At 42.3% G+C, this 18754-nt stretch overlaps 1 protein-coding gene and 1 pseudogene across 63 annotated transcripts in view, besides 2 other annotated features; one reads left to right on the top strand and one right to left on the bottom strand.

Moving 5' to 3' along the window:
- Nucleotides 1-18754, bottom strand: part of ST3GAL3 (ST3 beta-galactoside alpha-2,3-sialyltransferase 3) — a 223624-nt gene that overhangs the window by 73408 nt on the left and 131462 nt on the right. The window lies entirely within an intron of this gene.
- SHMT1P1 (SHMT1 pseudogene 1) lies at nt 5800-8331 on the top strand (annotated as a pseudogene).
- Nucleotides 15093-16081: an enhancer, noted in NCBI's record as "OCT4-NANOG-H3K27ac-H3K4me1 hESC enhancer chr1:44307343-44308331 (GRCh37/hg19 assembly coordinates)". NCBI's record gives its function as "activates a minimal SCP1, AML or CMV promoter by ChIP-STARR-seq in naive H9 embryonic stem cells {active_cell/tissue: H9 hESC(naive)}" and the evidence as "EXISTENCE:reporter gene assay evidence [ECO:0000049][PMID:30033119]".
- Nucleotides 16082-17070: an enhancer, noted in NCBI's record as "OCT4-NANOG-H3K27ac-H3K4me1 hESC enhancer chr1:44306354-44307342 (GRCh37/hg19 assembly coordinates)". NCBI's record gives its function as "activates a minimal SCP1, AML or CMV promoter by ChIP-STARR-seq in naive H9 embryonic stem cells {active_cell/tissue: H9 hESC(naive)}" and the evidence as "EXISTENCE:reporter gene assay evidence [ECO:0000049][PMID:30033119]".

Raw genomic sequence — 18754 nt, 5'->3', positions numbered from 1 at the left:
CCTAGCTACTTGGGAGGCTGAGACAGGAGAATCTCTTAAACCTGGGAGGTGGAGGTTGCAGTGAGCCAAAATCACACCATTGCACTCCAGCCTGGGCGACAGAGCAAGACTCCGAGGAAGGAAGGAAGGAAGGAAGGAAGGAAGGAAGGAAGGAAGGAAGGAAGGGAGGGAGGAAGGAAAGAAAGAAGGAAGGAAAGGAAGGAAGGGAGGGAGGGAGGGAAGGAGGAGGGAAGGAAGGAAGGAAGGAAGAGGGAAGGAAGGAAGGAAGGAAGGAAGGAAGGAGGGAAATACACATATAAAATATAAGCTCCATTTTTAAAAGTTTGGTTTTTTTGGGTTTTTTTTGGTAACAAATAGCTGAGACCACAGGTGCATGCCACTGTGCCAGGCCTATTTTTTATTTATTAGATTCAGCAACATAAACTTACTCTAATTGCCATAAATGTTTTCAAAAACCTTATTTCCAGTATCTCAAAAATCTTGTGGCAGACCAGTTCATATCACTTTTGATTCTATAGCACACAACAGGTTCCAAACTGCCTTTTGCCTGTCTGGGACATTCTACCAAGGCTTTGCCTGTCATTCACCTTCCAGTAGAAGTTAGAAAGGGATAAGATGTAGCTCCTCAGGTCCTGTCCTGGGGTAGGAGAAACAATGTACTCTGACACCATCAGAAACAGTTAGCAGGTTGAGGCCTAGAACTTCTCCTACAGCTGATGGATTTATAACCAGCTAGGTCTGCAGGATTCACCTTTGCAAGCAAGTGTGGGTCCCTAATCATCTGAGAAGGAGATCTAAAAAAAAAAAATCCCACAACTTCTGGATGTCTACCGCAGCTCCACCTATGAGAATTGGAAGATAGAGCAAAGAGGAAAGAGACGGGGTATACCATTATAGGGAACTGGCAGGCTAAATTCCTTGAATAATGGAGGAGGCAGTAAGCTCAGACAAGATGTGGAATTAATTTAAAAGCAGAACATGGATTAGTTCCCAGAGGAGGTCCCAACACCTGACGCTAAGGAATATATGAAAAAAAATTGGTGGGCAGAGAAAAGGAGAGGACACAAATGGCAATTCTTCCAGCTGTAAGCTGGAGTCCAGGTCATGGACAGGCATTGAGGTTGTCTAGCCCATGCAGGCTACTCTTAGACACTCTGCAGAGAAGCTTTAGTTATAGAGCACTCTGCTCTTCCCAGAAAGGTCTGTACCCAAGGATTTCAACACAGCAGGTACCTACTGAAAATATTTAAAACATTCTCCAAACAAAAGGAATCTGCATTCCCCTCTAGGTCCATGGTTCAGAGCCTCGATTCAGGACAGGGTGGGGTTGGTGGGTTTGATTCCTGGCTCTGTGCTACTATGACCTTGAGCAAGTCGTTAGCTTACCCATCTACAAAATGGGTATAACAACACTTACTTCACGGGGTTGTCGTAAAGGGTTTTTGCAAATTTGACTCCATAAAAGTGCATTATCACATTGACTTTATGTGTAACGATTGTGTGTGTATGTAAAAACACTGAAACTTCCTTGATAAGAGATGTCCTTTTTGTATACATGCATTTGTGAAAGATAAAATTTCTTAAGATCTTGGCTCTTTGGACAACTGCATATGCAGTAGTGACCCACTGTGGCTTTTGACTGATCTTGATAAAAGAATGTGACGAGATCAGTCATGGTATTTCAGATGTCTGTCACAGTATTTCAGATGACCGCAGTTGTAAACCTGGGTGTACACAATTATCAACTATAGTGAAATGTGTTTATACGTTTCCCTTTGTACCTATTTCTTTATGAACAGTTTGCCTGTTCCTGTTATATCCATGTGACTGTCATTAGTAACCTGTTCATGCCTGTCGTTAGTATACCTGTTTATGCTAGGCAATAAAATGTGTATGTTATTAATGCCCGTTTCATTGTGTAAAGTGGCCTATGTTCTGTAATGTTTTTATGTTTATCAAATAAATCCCCTTTTAAGAATGTAAATAAATATATTTTTAAAAATTTTAAAAATTATTTTTTCCAGAATGATGTTTTCAAGATTTTAATCCTTCAGAATTGTGATTTTCAGGGTTTTAGAGTTTTTGGGATTCTCATCTTTTAGGATTTCCTTTTTTTTTAAATTTAATTTAATTTTTTTTTTTGAGACAGAGTCTTGCTCTGTCGCTCAGGCTGGAATGCAATGGTGTGATCTCGGCTCACTATAACCTCCGCCTCCCAGGTTCAAGCGATTCTCCTGCCTCAGCCTCCCGAGTAGTTGGGATTACAGGTGCCCACCACCATGACTGGCTAATTTCTGTATTTTTAGTATAAATGGGGTTTCGCCATGTTGGTCAGGCTGGTCTCGAACTCTTGACGTCAGGTGATCCACCCGCCTTGGCCGGCCAAAGTGATGGGATCACAGGCGTGAGCCACTGCGCCTGGCTGATCTTTTAGGATTTCAGCATTTGGGACTATGGTGTTCATGATTGTGTCTTTTGGAATTATGATCCGCTCCCATTGTAAAGGCTAAATGAAGTAATGAAATACAGTGTCTGGCACACGGTAGGTGCTCTAAAAATGGCGTGACACTTTATGTGCGTGGGTTATCTGTGTCTGCCAGTGGAATGTAAGATCTCTGAGGGGAGAGGTTTTATGTAACTTATGCAGTGCTGAAGCTATACCACCTAGAAAAATATCTGGCACTTTGTTGAATGAGTTTACAGAATAATAGGATCAATGTGGCAACTTTTTAAGAGATGAGAGAGACCTGAATATGATTAAATAGTGATAAGAAGGAACCAGTGAAGAGAATGAAGATCCAGGTTCCTGCAGAGGTGGGAGAGGTTGGAGAATCAGGGCTCAGGGGAAGGAACTGACCTCGGAAAGAAGACAGTACACAAGTGCCAGGACTTGACGACTCATTAGATATCTGGTTAAGAGGGGAAGGGAAAAGAATTACTCCCAGATGTCTTGTTTGGGTGAGAATGGATAGTGGTGCCATTTCCTGAAATAAGAACATAGGCTGATTAGATTTGTTGGAAATTCGGTGCGTTGGATACACTGAGCTTGTGATGCTTTTGAGTCATCCAAGTGGAGCTGTCCAGCAGGAAGTTGGGTATTTGGGTCTAGAGATCAGTAGAGATGTGGGCTGCAAAAAGATTGAGAGTCATCAGCACATATGATGTTAGCTAAAGCAGTGGAGTGAGAAGAGAGGAGAGCTATAACCGAAACCAGGCAAACATCAACATTTAAGGATGGGCACAGGAAAAGAAGATCTCTTGCAATAGAGACTGAGAAGGAACAGAGAGGTAGGAGAACTGGGAGGGAGTTTGAACAAATAATTAAGGAGAAGAGAGAGTTTCAAAATGGAGGAAGAGATCAATACTGCCAAATGCTTCAGAGACATCATGAAAAGAGAAAGACTATCTATCTGTCGGATTTGTCAGTGCTTTTTGGTGGTCTGGATAAGAGCATTCTGAGGAGGAGAGAAGCGAGAGTGGAGGCCAGACTACATAGAGGGACATGAGGAAGCGGAGAAGGTAACTGTAGCAAGTCTTGCATATTCCTGGTAGGGGTATGGGGGTGCCCAATGTGCTCCCAGCCTAGAAGGACAACGATTCTGCAGAAGTAGAGAAGTAGATGGTATTCCATTCTTCTCCATAATTTATGGTATGGGACAAAATTTGGCAAGGACGCCTCTCAATCTTACTACCCCTCCCTGGTGTTGTAGTGATAACAATCCCAGGATCTTTTTCTGGAAGGGCAGAGAGAGAGGGGCTTTGTAATGTGGGGATACCAGATACTCAGCTATCCTGGCCAGGAGCCCACAAGCTTTTAAAGTCCCCAGGGCAGTGCAATAGGTCTCCTGTACCTTCTCATGCAAGCGTCCCAAATCAGGCAGCTGGGACTGTGTGTTAACTCTCTAGACTTCCTGCCTCAGAGAGCTCTGCAAAGTTTCAAGGGCCATCTTTGCACTCTGGAAACTCAGCCAGCTTGGACCATAGCAATGATTCCTTAGCAGTATGTGAATCACAGACGCACAGTCACAGATACACACCACACACCCCAGCCTTCCTAAAACAAAATGCATCTCAAGAGAGGTGTGGTTTTCCTCTGTAGAGCTGGGTAAGAGAACCATTTCTACATCAGCACCTCATTAGCTACCACCAGGCATCTGGTAGACCTCGGTACCTTGGCCACTAGCCAGCCTGCCCATGAAACAGCAGCTGTGAGAGGAAGTAGAAGGCGGTTGTTAAATATGTGGACTTGGGTTCAAAACCTAGTTTTATCACTTCCTATCTGTGTGACCTCGGGCAAACTGCTTGACTTCTCTATGCCTTTATTTCCTCATATTTAGAACTGGACTAACAAGGGTTAGTCTCATTATATGATTGTTGGGAGAATTAAAACAGAAAAAATATGAAAAAATCTCAGCATGGGACCTGATCCAAAGTAAACATCAGTAGGTGTGAGCTATCACTGTCACTGCTGCTAGTATCACTCTGCAGCATGGACGTGGCTTGGATTAGGGCTCTGCTTTCTGCTGAAACTGTTTGGCCACAGGTTTAGCCTGTAGGTGCCTCACTTTCTCCCAATACCGAGTGGCCCTACTGGCCACCAACTAAAAGAGACAACACTCAATCATGTCTTTCACCAAAGCACAAAAAGCCATTCAAATGTATGAGGCAAAATATTGGCAGGAAAATGGGGTATGCCAATTATGTGTCAATTTAGGTTTTACGAGTTATATTTTTTCTTTTTAAAGAAAACATTCAAAATGTTTACTGTGACTTACTCTAGGATCTTTATTTTTCTTCCTGAAAAAAACTTATCTAATTATAATGAAAGTCACTGAGAAAACAGAATTCACTTAATTAAGTGTCTAACATTAAATGTTGTTGAAATGATCTAACATTTATGGCCCCAGGACACATCCTCTCATTTCATTCTCTTGACTAATGAGTGAAATAAGGCTCAGACTTTTCCAAGATCACATAGCCTGTGAAGTGAGAAAGCTGTGAGAACTTTCAGTCTCCAAATCTTCATCTCCTTTCAATCTATCATATATTGGAATATGTCACAATAATTAGTTTTCTTCAGAAACTCTTTCCACTAAAAGAGTGTCTTATCAACATTTCCCACATCCTTACACTCTCAATCTCTGGAGGGCAGAAATTAATTTCCACTCACAAAACCAATACCAAGTGTCTACTGTGTGCTAAAGGCTCTGCTAGGTGTTGGCAGCCATGAATAGACCATGCCTCTATGTGAGAAGTTCACAGTCTCTATGGGAGAAGAAATACCAGCCAATAGTTATATACACAATAACAAAGCTATGTGTGAGGCACTGTGGTGGTGCACAGGGTAGGGGAAAGAGTAATGGAGTGTATTTCTAGGTAAGGGAAGACTTTGCATTCCATGAGACCAAACAGATTCAAAAGACCTAACTCAAAATTTAGAGCAAAACAAGTGCTCAGTAAATCTGAGTTCCTTTGGACCTACTGCCATCCCCTCCCCATCTCTCTAATTAGAGGAAGATGTATCCAAGTGAGCAATACTCGAGGGAGGAAAGGAGGACTTCCCAGCAGAGAGTACAAAAGTGTGAGAGCAAACAGGCTGGCTTCCCAGAGAAGCAGGACTCTGGTCTGGACGGGTGGGCACATCAGCACCCCTTCCTTTACACTGCCTGCTCCTTAGTCTGCACCTAGGGATGGGAGTCAATGACTAGGTGGGCTCAGGGAAGAGTGAAGCATAGGAAAAGAGAATGTATGCTTCACACAGCATTTGGGGATTTTTTTTAAAAAGGTAAGATTTAGGCCAAGCCTAAGCCTGGTGCAAGGGGTGCACCTAGCAGAGCACTAGCAGTCCCGCACCAAGTTTGGGATTTGGGGTTGGTGCGGCCAGTCACGTTGCTGGTGCGTGGCAGTGTACAGGGCATTGGGTCAGCGGGTCTGGGACTCTGGTGGCACTGGTGGCGGCGTGGGACTGAGGCTAGGCACATGTGCGGGGCTGTGTTCCGGCAGCTTCGGACCCATGCAATAGCAATGCCAGTCAACAGGGCCCACAAGGATGCTGACCTGTGGTCCTCACATGACAAGATGCTGGCGCAGCCCCTCAAAGACAGCGATGTTGAGGTTTACAACATCATTAAGGAGAGTACCGGCAGAGGGCTGGATTGGAGCTGATTACCTCGGAGAATTTCGCCAGCTGGGCAGTTTTGGAGGCCCTAGGCTCTTGCTTAAATAACAAATACTCTGAGGGGTACCCGGGCCAGAGATACTAAGGCAGGACTGACTTTACTCATGAGCTGGAGACCCTCTGTCAGAAGCGAGCCCTGCAGGCCTATAAGCTGGACCCACAGTGCTGGGGGGTCAACGTCCAGCCTTGCTCAGGCTCCCCTGCAAACTTTGAGTGTAACTGCCCTGGTGGAAACCCATGGGTGCATCATGGGCCTGGACCTGCCAGATGGGGGTCACCTGACCCACGGGTTCATGACAGACAAGAAGAAAATCTCTGCCACGTCCATCTTCTTTGAATCTATGCCCTATAAGGTGAACCCAGACACTGGCTACATCAACTATGACCAGCTGGAGGAGAACACCCGCCTCTTCCACCCGAAGCTGATCAGTGCAGGAACCAGCTGCTCCTCCTAAAACCTGGACTATGCCCCGCTGCAGAAAAACTGCAGATGAGAATGGGGTGTATCTCATGGTGGACATGGCACATATCAGCAGGCTGGTGGCAGCTGGCGTGGTGCCCTCCCCATTTGAACACTGCCACCACCACTCACAAGAACCTGAGAGGCTGCCAAGTCCGCACGATCTTCTACAGGAAAGGAGGGCAAAGTATGGATCCCAAGACTGGCAAAGAGATTCTGTACAACCTGGAGTCTCTCATCAACTCTGCTGTGTTCCCTGGCCTTCAGGGAGGTCCCCACAACCACACCATTGCTGGGGTTGCTGTGGCCCTGAAGCAAGCTATGACTCTGGAATTTGAAGTTTATCAGCACCATGTGGTGGCCAACTGCAGAGCTCTGTCTGAGGCACTGACGGAGCTGGGCTACCAAACAGTCACAGGTTGTTCTGATAAACATTTGATCCTCGTGGATCTCCATTCAATCAAAGGCACAGATGGCAGAAGGGCTGAGAAGGTCCTAGAAGCCTGTTCTATTGCCTGCAACAAGAACACCTGCCCAGATGATAGAAACACTCTACGGCCCAGTGGACTGCGGCTGGGGAACCCAGCACTGACATCTCTTGGACTTTTGGAAAAAGGCTTCCAAAAGGTAGCCCACTTTATCCACAGAGGGATAGAGCTAACCCTGCAGATCCAGAGCAACGCTGGCATCAGAGCCACCCTGAAAGAGTTCAAGGAGAGACTAGCAGGGCATAAATACCAGGGGTGTGTGCAGGCTCTCCAGGAGGAGGTTGAGAGCTTCACTCTCTTCCCTCTGCCTGGCCTGCCTGACTTCTAAAGGAGCCGGCCCACCCTGGATGCACCTGGTGCCACAGAGGAAGCTACCTGCTGGAGGATCCCCTTGAGAGATGTACAAGCTGCCCCACAAGGGACCCACTGACACTTGTTTCCTTTGAGGGGTTTTCTTTTGGACTTTTTTCATGTTTTCTTCACAAATCAAAATTTGTTTAAGTTTCATTGTTATTAATTCTGGGACAGGTTATTACAGGTTTTTAATTTGAACCTGGCTTTCTCACAGCTGGATATAATTATTCTAGAAAAATAAAAATACTGTGTAGCCACTTGGCCATAATCATTTAGACCATGGGGTAGGGCAGAGCTATTAGAAAGATTCTAGTGTTTTACTCTCCCTAGGCTTTCCTTTGCCTTGCTGCAGCAGAGAGGAAATGCTCCTGTCCACAGCTTGTACACACTGCCACTCTTACTATCTTGTTACCCAGCAGCATGCCAAAGGGGAGCTGAATTCGCCTCTGAAGCTTCTGCTGTGTGCTGTAAATCAGAAGTGTACATTAGCCAAGTGTACACAAGGTGCACTCAGTATGGTGGGAGGGTTTTGCTGTCAGTAGTTCAAAGTATGGTGTAGAAAGGGTCTCCTCCCTCCATCCTGGGAAATCCCAGTCCCATACTGGTGTGAGAATCAACCAGGCTTTCCTGCTCCACCTGAGATAACCAACTCCCTCCCATAATCAGGAAACCAAATGTCACCTTCCCAAAGAAACTTTATTTTCACATAGCTGAAGTGCAAAACATATACGACCATTTTTAATAAGCACAATCAAATTTTTAACCACTGAATGTCTATAAGAATTATAGCTTTAAAAATACAATTTTTATATTTCAAAAATATTTGAACTCAAACTAATTTCTTAAAAAGTTAAAAAAGGTAAGATTTAATAGTTTTTGTAGATCATCTCAAAATTAACACATCAAAAAGAGCTTTATCAAGTCCTTTTCTGTCAAAATATTGATGCTGCAGAAATCAAAACCTTGAATTTACTTAAGTATTTTGTGATCAAAATACCAAGAAATACTAGCTACCCATATGAAAAAAAAAAAAGAACCCTAGATCTCAACCTCATTCCTAACACACAAAACCAAAAATAGATGAATTAATAATTTAAATATAAATAACAAAACTGTAAAACAGAAGAAAACAAAGGATGGCACCATCATCAACTACTATGTGGGTACATAAATCCCAAAACTGCTATGAAGGGCAATTTGCCAATAACTCTCAAAATGTTCAAGAAGGCAGAAGAAAACACAAACATAATAAGAAATGAAACAGAAGATATAAGAAGACCTAAATGGAACCTACAGAGATTAAAAACACAGTATTTGACATAATAATATACATGGTGGGATTAACAAGTGATTAAATGCTACAAAAGAAAAAGCTATAAATGTGAAGACATAGCAATATAAACTATCCAAAATGAAGCAGAGAGAGAAAGAAGATTGAAAAACAAAAACCCAGAGCATCAGTGACCTGTGGGACAAATAATATAGCATCCATGTAATTTGAATCCTGGGAAAGGAGATGAGGCAGAAAAAATATTTGAGAAAATATGTAAACAAGGTCCAAATGTGATTACAAAGAATAAAACAAAACAAACAAACAAGAAAACTATGAACCTACAGATCTGAGGAGTTAAATAAACTCCAAGCCAAATAAATATAAAGAAAACCACAGCCAGGCACGGTGGCTCACACCTGTAATCCTAGCACTTTGGGAGGCCGAGGCATGTGGATCACCTGAGGTCAGGAGTTTGAGACCAGCCTGGCTAACATGGTGAAACCCCGTCTCTACTAAAAATACAAAATTAGCCAGGTGTGGTGGCGCATGCTTGTAATCCCAGCTACTCGGGAGGCTGAGGTAGGAGAATTGCTTGAACCCAGGAGGCGGAGGTTGCAGTGAACCAAGATCGCGCCATTGCACTCCAGCCTGGGCAACAAGAGCAAAACTCCATCCCTACGCCAAAAAAAAAAAAAAAAAAAAAAGAAAACCACAACAAGGGACACCATAATAAAATTGCTGGAAACCACTGGTAAAGAGAAAAATCTCAACAGGCAGCCAGAAGAAAATGAAATACTACATACAAAGGAATATAGGTAAGAATGACAGAAGACGTTTTGTCAGGAATGAAGCAAGTAAATAGAGTTACATATTTAAGGTAGTGGGGGAGGGGTGGTGGAAGTGAGAACAGGGTACTGTCAACCTAGAAGTGTATACCTAGCCAAAACATTTTTAAAAATCTTTCAAAATTGAAGGTAAAATAAAGACTTGTTCAGACAATCCAACACTGAAAGACTTCGCAGTCATCGGACCTGCCCCACAAGAAATGTTAAATGAAGTTCTTCAGGCAGAAGAAAGAGGATACCATATGGAAATACGTATTTACACAAAGGAAGAAAGACCAACAGTAAAGAAAACTTTGTGAGTAAATATAAAAGAATTTTCCCTCTCATTAAAAAAACTTTTAAAATGTTTGAATTGTAGTAAAATACACTAACATAAAATGTACCATCCTAACCATTTTTAAGTGTACAATTCAGTAGTATTAGTTATTTTCACACTGTTGTGTAACCAATATCCAGAGCTGTTTTTCATCTTGCAAAACTGAAACTCTATATGCATTAAACAATAACTCTCCATTCCTCCCTCCTCCCAGCACATGGAAACCATATTCTACTTTCTGTCTCTATGAATTTGATTTCTCTAGGCACCTCATATGAATGGAATCACACAATATTTGTTTTTGTGTAACTGGCTCATTTCATTTAGCATAATGTCCTCGAGGTTCATTCATGTTGTAATATGTGTCAGAATTTCCTTCCATTTTCAGGCTGAGTAACATTCCACTGCTTATGCATACCACATTTTGTTTATCCTTTCATCTGTCAATGAACACAGGTTGCTTCTACTTTTTGGCAATAATGAATAATTCCTGCTACAAACACCCTTTGGAGCCCTGCTTTCAGTTATTTTGGGTATATACCCAGAAGTGGAATTGCTGGATCATACGGCAATCCTATTTTCAATGTTTTTAGGAACTGCATCCTGTTTTCCAAAGTTGTTGTACATTTTACATTCCCACAGAGTGCACAAGGATTCTAATTTCTCTACATGCTTGCCAGCACTTGTTATTTTCTGGTTTTGGGATAATAGCCATAGTATCCTAATGGATGTGAGGTGGTATCTTACTGTGGTTTTGACTTGCATTTCCCTAGTGATTAGTAACATTGAGCACATTTTTATGTGCTTTTTGGCCATTTGTATATCTTCTTTGGAGAAGTGTCTATTCAAGTTCTCTACCCGCTTTTAAATCAGTTTTTTTCTTGTTGTTGAGTATTAGAAGTTCTCTATATTTTCTGGACAACATTAACCTCTTATCAGATATATGATTTGCAAATATTTTCTCCCATTCTGTAGGTTGCCTTCCACTCTCATTTTTAAATTATTTTAAATAATTGACTATTTCAAACAAAAATAAATAAGCTGAGCACGGTGGCTCATGCCTGTAATCCCAGCACTTTGGGAGGCTGAGGCAGGCAGATTGCTTGAGCACAGGAATTTGAGACCAGCCTAGGCAACATGGCAAAGTCTTGTCTCTACAAAAAATACAAAAATTAGCTGGGTACGGTGACATGTGTTTGTGGTCCCAGCTACTTGAGAGGCTGAGGTGGGAGGACTGCCTGACACAAACAGGTTAAAAAGATAGGCTGCTCCCCAACCACCCGTGGGACAGCTCAAGGGCAAATATAAACATGCTCCTTCCCACAAACAAAAGTAATTGCAAAAACCCCAATTACTTTTGCACCAACCAAATAAAAGGATGGAAAACATACACCATGATATAGCTTATTTTTATAAAGGCCAGAGTGGTTTATTAATATCAGACAAGGAAGATTTTGGAACAATAATTATTTGACTATCAATAAGAAAAAGGGACATTTCAAAATAATGAAGGAATCTATTAGAAATGGGATACAACAATCCTAAGTGTATACACACCAAATGACAGAGCTTCAAAACAAATGAAATAAAAACTGATAAATTAAGACTTCATTACCCCTCTGTCAGTAATTGTTAGAAAAAGTGTACAGAAAGTCAGTAAGGATACAGGAAACTAGACACATACCATAAACCAACCTAAGCTAATTGCCATTTATAGAATACCCTAAAACAGAAGTATTTTCTTTTCAAGCACACACAGAATATTCACCAAAATCGACCATATTTTGTCCCATAACTCAGATTTCAATTAATTTAAAAGTATTAAAATCATATAACGTATATTTGGAGCACAGCAAAAATAAATCAGAAATCTATAACACAAAGATATCTGGAACACCCACAAATATTAGGAAATTAAGCAAAAACACTTCCAAAGAACTAATAGGCCGAAGTAGAAATCACGAGTAAAGTTAGATAATATTTTTAACTCAACAAAGATAAAAATACAACATATCAAAATTTGTAAGATGTAGTCAATGCAATATATAGAGTGAAATTTATACCATTACAATGTTTATATGAGAAATAAATAAAATCAATGATCTAACCTTCTAGCCTAAGGAAAAAAAAACAAATAATAAATTAAAGTCCAACTAAGAGAAAAGTGAAAAAATAAAAAATGAAGATAGGCACAGAAATCAATGATATAGTGGAAAAAATATCAATAGACAAGAACCAATGGAACTAAAAGCTAGTTATTTGAGAGGATCAACAAAAAATGATAAACCTCAAATCAGATGAATTTAAGAAAAAGAGAGAAAAAATGCAAATTACGAATATCAGGCATGAAAGAGAGGACTCTGTCTCTATCCTAGACATTAAAATAATAATAAGGGAATATTATACACAATTTTATGCTAATAAATTCAACAACTTAGAAGAAAGGCAAAACTTCCTTGAAAGACATGCTACTAAAGAAGAAACAGAAAAACTTGAATAACTCTAGAATTAAAGAAATTTAATTTGTAATAATAATAATAAAAAAAAACTTCCCTGGCTAGGCACAGTGGCTCACATCTGTAATTCCAGCACTTTGGGAAGCTGAGGCCAGTAGATCACTGGAGGCCAGGAGTTCGAGACCAGCCTGGCAAACATGGCGAAACACCATCTCTACTAAAAATACAAAAATTTGTTGGGCATGGTGGTGCACACCTGTAATCCAGCTACTCGGGAGGCTGAGGCACAAGAATTGCTTGAACCCAGGAGGCGGAGGTTGCAGTGAGCTGAGATTGCACCACTGTACTCCAGCCTAAGTGACAGAAACTATGTCTCAAAAAGAAACCAAAAACAACAACAAAAGCCTTCCTACAAAGATGTGCAGGCTATGAAATAATAAAAAATACAAATATTGGTCTCTGCTCCTGGTCCCTACATAAAGCTCCTAAAAATCCTTACAGATAGGGGCACTAAGAGAATCTTTTGTTCTAATATCTAGTCTTTTTTTTTTTTTTTAGACGGAGTCTTGCTATGTCGCCCAGGCTGGAGTGCAGTGGCACGATCTTGGCTCACTGCAAGCTCTGCCTCCCGGGTTCACGCCATTCTCCTGCCTCAGCCTCCAGAGTAGCTGGGACTACAGGCGCCCGCCACCGTAGTGCCCGCCACCACGCCCGGCTAATTTTTTTTTATTTTTGGTAGAGACGGGGTTTCACCGTGTTAGCCAGAATGGTCTTGATCTCCTGACCTCATGATCCACCCTCCTCGGCCTCCCAAAGTGCTGCGATTACAGGCGTAAGCCACCGTGCCCGGCCACCAATAGTTAGTCTAGTCTCTGACCCTAGTTTCTGACCCAGAGCTCTTAAGACCTTTGTAATTTCCTGACTGATAAGAGCACATCTGACAGAGAGCTGCTAAATTCCTTCAAATTTCCTGGGTGATAGGAATATCTTTTGTTCTCATGAGATGACTTCTGGATAGCCTTATGTTGGGTGCTGGTTGGCAGGGGAACCAACTATGCAATTAGAGGGCTGGAACTTTCAGTCTCACCCTCTGACCTCGGGGATGGGAAAAGGGCTGAAGGTTGATTTGATCACCAGTGGTCAATGATGCAATGAATCATGCCTATGTAATCCTCCACAGGGTTTATAGAAGCCTCCATAAAAACCCAAAAGGACAAGGTTCAGAGAGCTTTCAGACTTGTGAACCACTTACCACATGCCATGCCCTATGCATCTCTTCCAACTGGCTGTTCATCCGTATCCTTTATGATATCCTTTATAATAAATGGATAAACATAAGTTTCCCTGAATTCTGTGAGCTGCTCTAGCAAACAGATCAAACCCAAGAGGGGATGGTCTTGGAATTCACAACTTATAGCTGGTTGGCGAGATGTATAGGTAACAACCTACTACTTGTGATTAGCATCTGAAGTGAGGTATAGTCTTGTTCGGCCGTCAACCTGTGGGATCTGACGCCATCTCCAGGTGGATAATGCCAGAATTGAATTGAATTATAGGACACCCATTAGTGTCTGCTGAAGAATTGCTTGATGTGTGAGAAAAACTGCCACACATCTGGTGTCAGAAGTGTGTTCAGTGGCGCATGAGAATAGAGATAAAAAACTGTCTTTTCTTCAGACAAGCCTAGATTTTGCTGGTGAATTCTATCAAACATTTCATAAAAAATATTACCAATTGTACACAAAATTTGTAGAAAGATGAAGAAATATTTTCCCACTTATTCTGAAGCCAGCATTACTATATTACCAAAACTAAAGACATCACAAGAAAACTACAGACCAGTATCTTTCATGACCAAAGACACAAAAATCCTTGAAAAATTTTAGCCAATTGAATAGAGCAATGTGTAAAAAGAACAATACACCAAGACCAAATGAAGTTTATCCTACAAATGAAAGATTGGTTCAACATTCAAAAATCAATTAATGAGAAAAAACCAATCAATGTAATTCATCATATTAATAGACTAAAAAAGAAAAGCCATATGATCTTCTCAAAATATGCAGAAAAAGCATTTGACAAAATTCAACATCTATTCATGATAAACACTCTCAAGAAACTAGGAACAGAAGAGAACTTCCTCTACCTAAAAAATGGTATCTATGAAAAACCTACAGCTAACACCATAATGGTGAAAGACTAGATCTTTTCCTCCTAAGACTGGGAACAGGCAAGGCTGTTCACTCTCACCTCACCTATTTAATACTGCACTGAACAGTCTAGCCAATGCAGTAAGGCAAGAAAAAGGAATGAGACATATAGATGAAAAAGGAAGAAATAAAACTGTCTTTAGTAACAGACGACAAGACTGTCCATGTATGAATGGTACTGGCACAAAGTCATAAATCAACAGAATAGACTAGGGAGTCCAGAAGGAGACCTACACATACATGTTCAACTGATTTTCAACAAACATGCCAAGGTAATTCAATGGAGAAAGCAGAGTCTTTAACAAATGGTTCTGGAACAACTGAACATCCATGTGCAAAAAGTGAATGTAAACTTTTTTTTTTTTTTTTTTTTTGAGATGGAGTCTTGCTTTGTGTAGAGTGCAGTGGCGTGATCTCGGCTCATTACAACCTTCGCCTCCCAAGTTAAAGCGATTCTCCTGCCTCAGCCTCCCAAGTAGATGGGACTACAGGTGTACACCACCACGCCCAGCTAATTTTTTGTATTTTTAGTAGAGACGGGGTTTCACCATGTCAGCCAGGATGGTCTTGATCCCCTGACCTCGTGATCCGCCCGCCTCATCCTCCCAAAGTGCTGGGATTACAGGTGTGAGCCACCATGCCCGGCCTCTAAAAAAAATATCTGAGACTGGGTAAATTATAAAGAAAAGAGGTTTAATTGGCTCACAGTTCTGCAGGAAGAGTGGTGCTGGCATCTGCTTACCTCCTAGGGAGGCATCAGAAAGCTTACAATCATGGCAGAAGGCAAATGGAGAGCTCAGATTTTTTTTTTGTAGCAATGCAAGAATGGCCTAATACATAAAATTGGTACCAGGAGTAGGGTATTGTTAGAAAGATATCTAAAAATGTGGAAGTGACTTCGGAACCGGGTAATGGATAGAGGTTGGAAGAGTTTGGAGGGCTCACAAGAAGACAGGAAGATGAGAGCAAGTTTGGAACTTCTTAGAGACTGGTTAAATGGTTGTAACCAAAATGTTGATAGGGATATGGCCAATGAAATCTAGGCCAACAAGGTCTCAGATTGAAATGAGGAACTCATTGGGAAATGGAGCAAAGGTCATAACATGTTATGCCTTAGCAAACAGCTTGGTTGCATTGTGCCCTTTCCCAAGGAATCTGTGGAAGTTTGAAGTTGAGAGTGATGATTGCATATTTGGCAGAAGAAATTTCTAAGCAGCAAAGCATTCAAGATATGACTGGCTGCTCCTAACAGCTTACACTCAGATACAGGTGCAAGTAAATGACTTAAAGTTGGAATTTATATTTAAAAGGGAAGCAGAGCATAAAAATTGGGAAAATTTGCAGCCAAGCCACATGGCAAAGAAAGAAAAAGCTTTTTCAGAAGAGGAATTCAAGCAGGCTGTGGAGTAACCACTTGCTAGAGACATTTGCATAACTAAAAAAGAGCCAAATGCTAATATCTAAGACAATAGGGAAAAAGCCTCAAAGGCATTTTAGAGATTATTGAGGTAGCCCCTTCCATCATAGTTCCTGAGGCCCAGGAGACAAAAATGGTTTCATGGGTCAGGCCCAGGGCCTCACCCCTATGCAACTTCAGGACACTGCTCCCCACATTCTGGCGGCTCCAGCTCTAGCCATGTCTCAAAAAGGGCAAGGTACAGCTCAGGCTGCCACTTTGAAGAATGCAAGCTGTAAACTTTGACAGCTTCCATGTGGTATTAAGAGTGCACAGAGTGCAAGAATGGAGGATTCTTGGATGCTTCCACCTAGATTTCAGAGGATGTATGGAAAAGCTTGGCTTCCCAAGCAAAAGCCTGCTGCAGGAGTGGAGCCCTCACAGAAAACCTCTACTAGGGCAGTGTGGAGGGGAAACATGGGATTGGAGCCTTCACACAGGGTCCCCACTGGGACACTGCCTTGTGGAGCTGTGAGAAGGGGGCCACCATCCTCTAGTCCCCAGAATGGTAGATCCACCAGCAGTTTACACCCTGCACCTGAAAAAGCCTCAGGCACTCAACGCCAGCCCATGAGAGCAGCCACAGGGGCTGCACCCTGCAAAGCCACAGGGGCGGAGCTGCCCAAGATCTTGGGGGCCCACTTCTTGCACCAGTGTGCCCTGAATGTGGGGCACAGAGTCAAAAGAGATAATTTTGGAGCTTTAAGATTTAATGACTGCCTTGCTGGGTTTCAAACTTGCATGGGGCGTATAGCCCCTTTCTTATGGCTGATTACCCCTTTTTGGAATGGGATGTTTACCCAATGCCTATACCCCCATTGTATCTCGAAAGTAAGCAACTTGTTTTGATTTTACAGTCTCATAGGTGAAAGGAACTCATTTCCAGATAAGAATTTAGATTTGGGACTTAGTATCAGGGGACCTGCCCTGATAATCACGTAGGTTCTTTTCTATTTTTCCTAAGCGTCGGCCAGCTTGAGAAATAAAGGGACGGAGTACAAAAGAGAGAAATTTTAAAGCTGGGCATCCGGGGGAGACATCACACGTTGGTAGGATCCGTGATGCCCCACAAGCCACAAAAACCAGCAAGTTTTTATTAGGGATTTTCAAAAGGGGAGGGAGTGTGCAAATAGGTGTGGGTGACAGACATCAGGTACTTAACAGGGTAATAGAATATCACAAGGCAAGTGGAAGCAGGGCGAGATCACAGGACCACAGTAGGACTTTTGAGTTAATGCTAGAATGAGTTAAGATTTCGCAGGGACTATTGAGAAGGGATGACTGTATGTTGAAATGTGAGAAGGACATAAGATTTGTGGAGGCCAGGGACAAAATGATACAGTTTGAATATTTGTCCCTGCCCAAATCTGATGTTGAAAGGTAATCCCCAGACAGGCTCAGTGGCTCAAACTTGTAATCCCAGCACTTTGGGAGGCCAAGGTGGGTGGATCGCTTGAGCCCAGGAATTTGAGACCAGCCTGGGCAACATGGCAAAACCCCACCTCTACCAGAAATACAAAAATTAGCCACGTGTGGTTGCATGCGCCTGGAGTCCCAACTACTTGGGAGGCTGAGGTGGCTAATTGCTTGAGCCCGGAGGTCAAGGCTGCAGTGAGCCAAGATCGCACCACTGCACTCCAGCCTGGGCAACACCGCAAGACCCTGTCTCAAAAAAAAAAAAAAAAGGAAGGGAAAAAAATGTAATCTCCAATGGGGCCTGGTGGTAGGTGACTGGATCATGGCGGTGGTCTCTCATGAATGACTTAGCACCATCCCCCTGGTGCTGTTCTTGTGAAAATGAGTGAATTCTTGTGAGATCTGGTTGTTTAAAAGTGCGTAGCACTTCCTCTCTTTCTCTCTCCTTCACTCACTTGCTCCTGCTTTTGCCATATGACGTGCCTGCTCCCCCTTTGCTTTCTGGCATGATTTTAAGTTTCCTGAGGCCTTCCTAGAAGTGAAGCAGGTGCCAGCACCATACTTCCTGTAAAGCCTGATGAACCATAAGCCAATTAAACCTCTTTTCTTTACAATTTGCCCAGTCTCAGATGTTTTTTCATAGACATGCAAGAACGGCCTAATACACAGTACAGAATATTAAATACAGTTATGTTCCCACTTTTGGTAATATTGGCTGTCTCTGGGGAAGGAGTCTGGAGTGGCAGTATATAACCTTTTGTACTGTTTGAGGTTTTTTTGTTTTGTTTTGTTTCCACATGCCTGTATTACTTTCAATTAGAAAAAGCAAACGAAACCTATATACTGGTAAAGGAAAACTCACAAGTGTCTGGGCTAAGGACTGAGTCGTATAGGCTTGCAAAAACCTGTGTTAAGAATACAGAACACAAAAAGCCAGACACAGGGGCACTCAATAAATAGCTGGAGGAAGCAAAATATTTGGAATCAATTCAGAAGGCAGACCCTGGACAAAGAGATCTCTATCTGAGCACCAGATACTCAGCCAGCATAGCCCTTGCTTTACACAAGGAGCTAAGCTGAGACTGCTCACGTTAGAAAAGAAAGGGAGCATAAAAACCAAATATACCGGAGTCACTTTGGGGCGAGCTGTTTCTCAGCATTCCTTTGCAAGCACATTACGTGTCCTAACCTCAGCCTTCTAAGGGATGGGAGGCAAGTCCTTCCCCCAGTGAGCAGAGCCCACCCCTAGCACTCCTCTGGTGGTCCAAGTGCCCAGACAATCCTAGGCAGCCTTTCCTTCAG

This window comes from Homo sapiens, chromosome 1, assembly GCF_000001405.40.
Source record: "Homo sapiens chromosome 1, GRCh38.p14 Primary Assembly".
Lineage (NCBI taxonomy): Eukaryota > Metazoa > Chordata > Mammalia > Primates > Hominidae > Homo > Homo sapiens.
The sequence above is the reverse complement of the archived record's forward strand: the minus strand, read 5'-3'. Positions and strand labels throughout refer to the sequence as shown.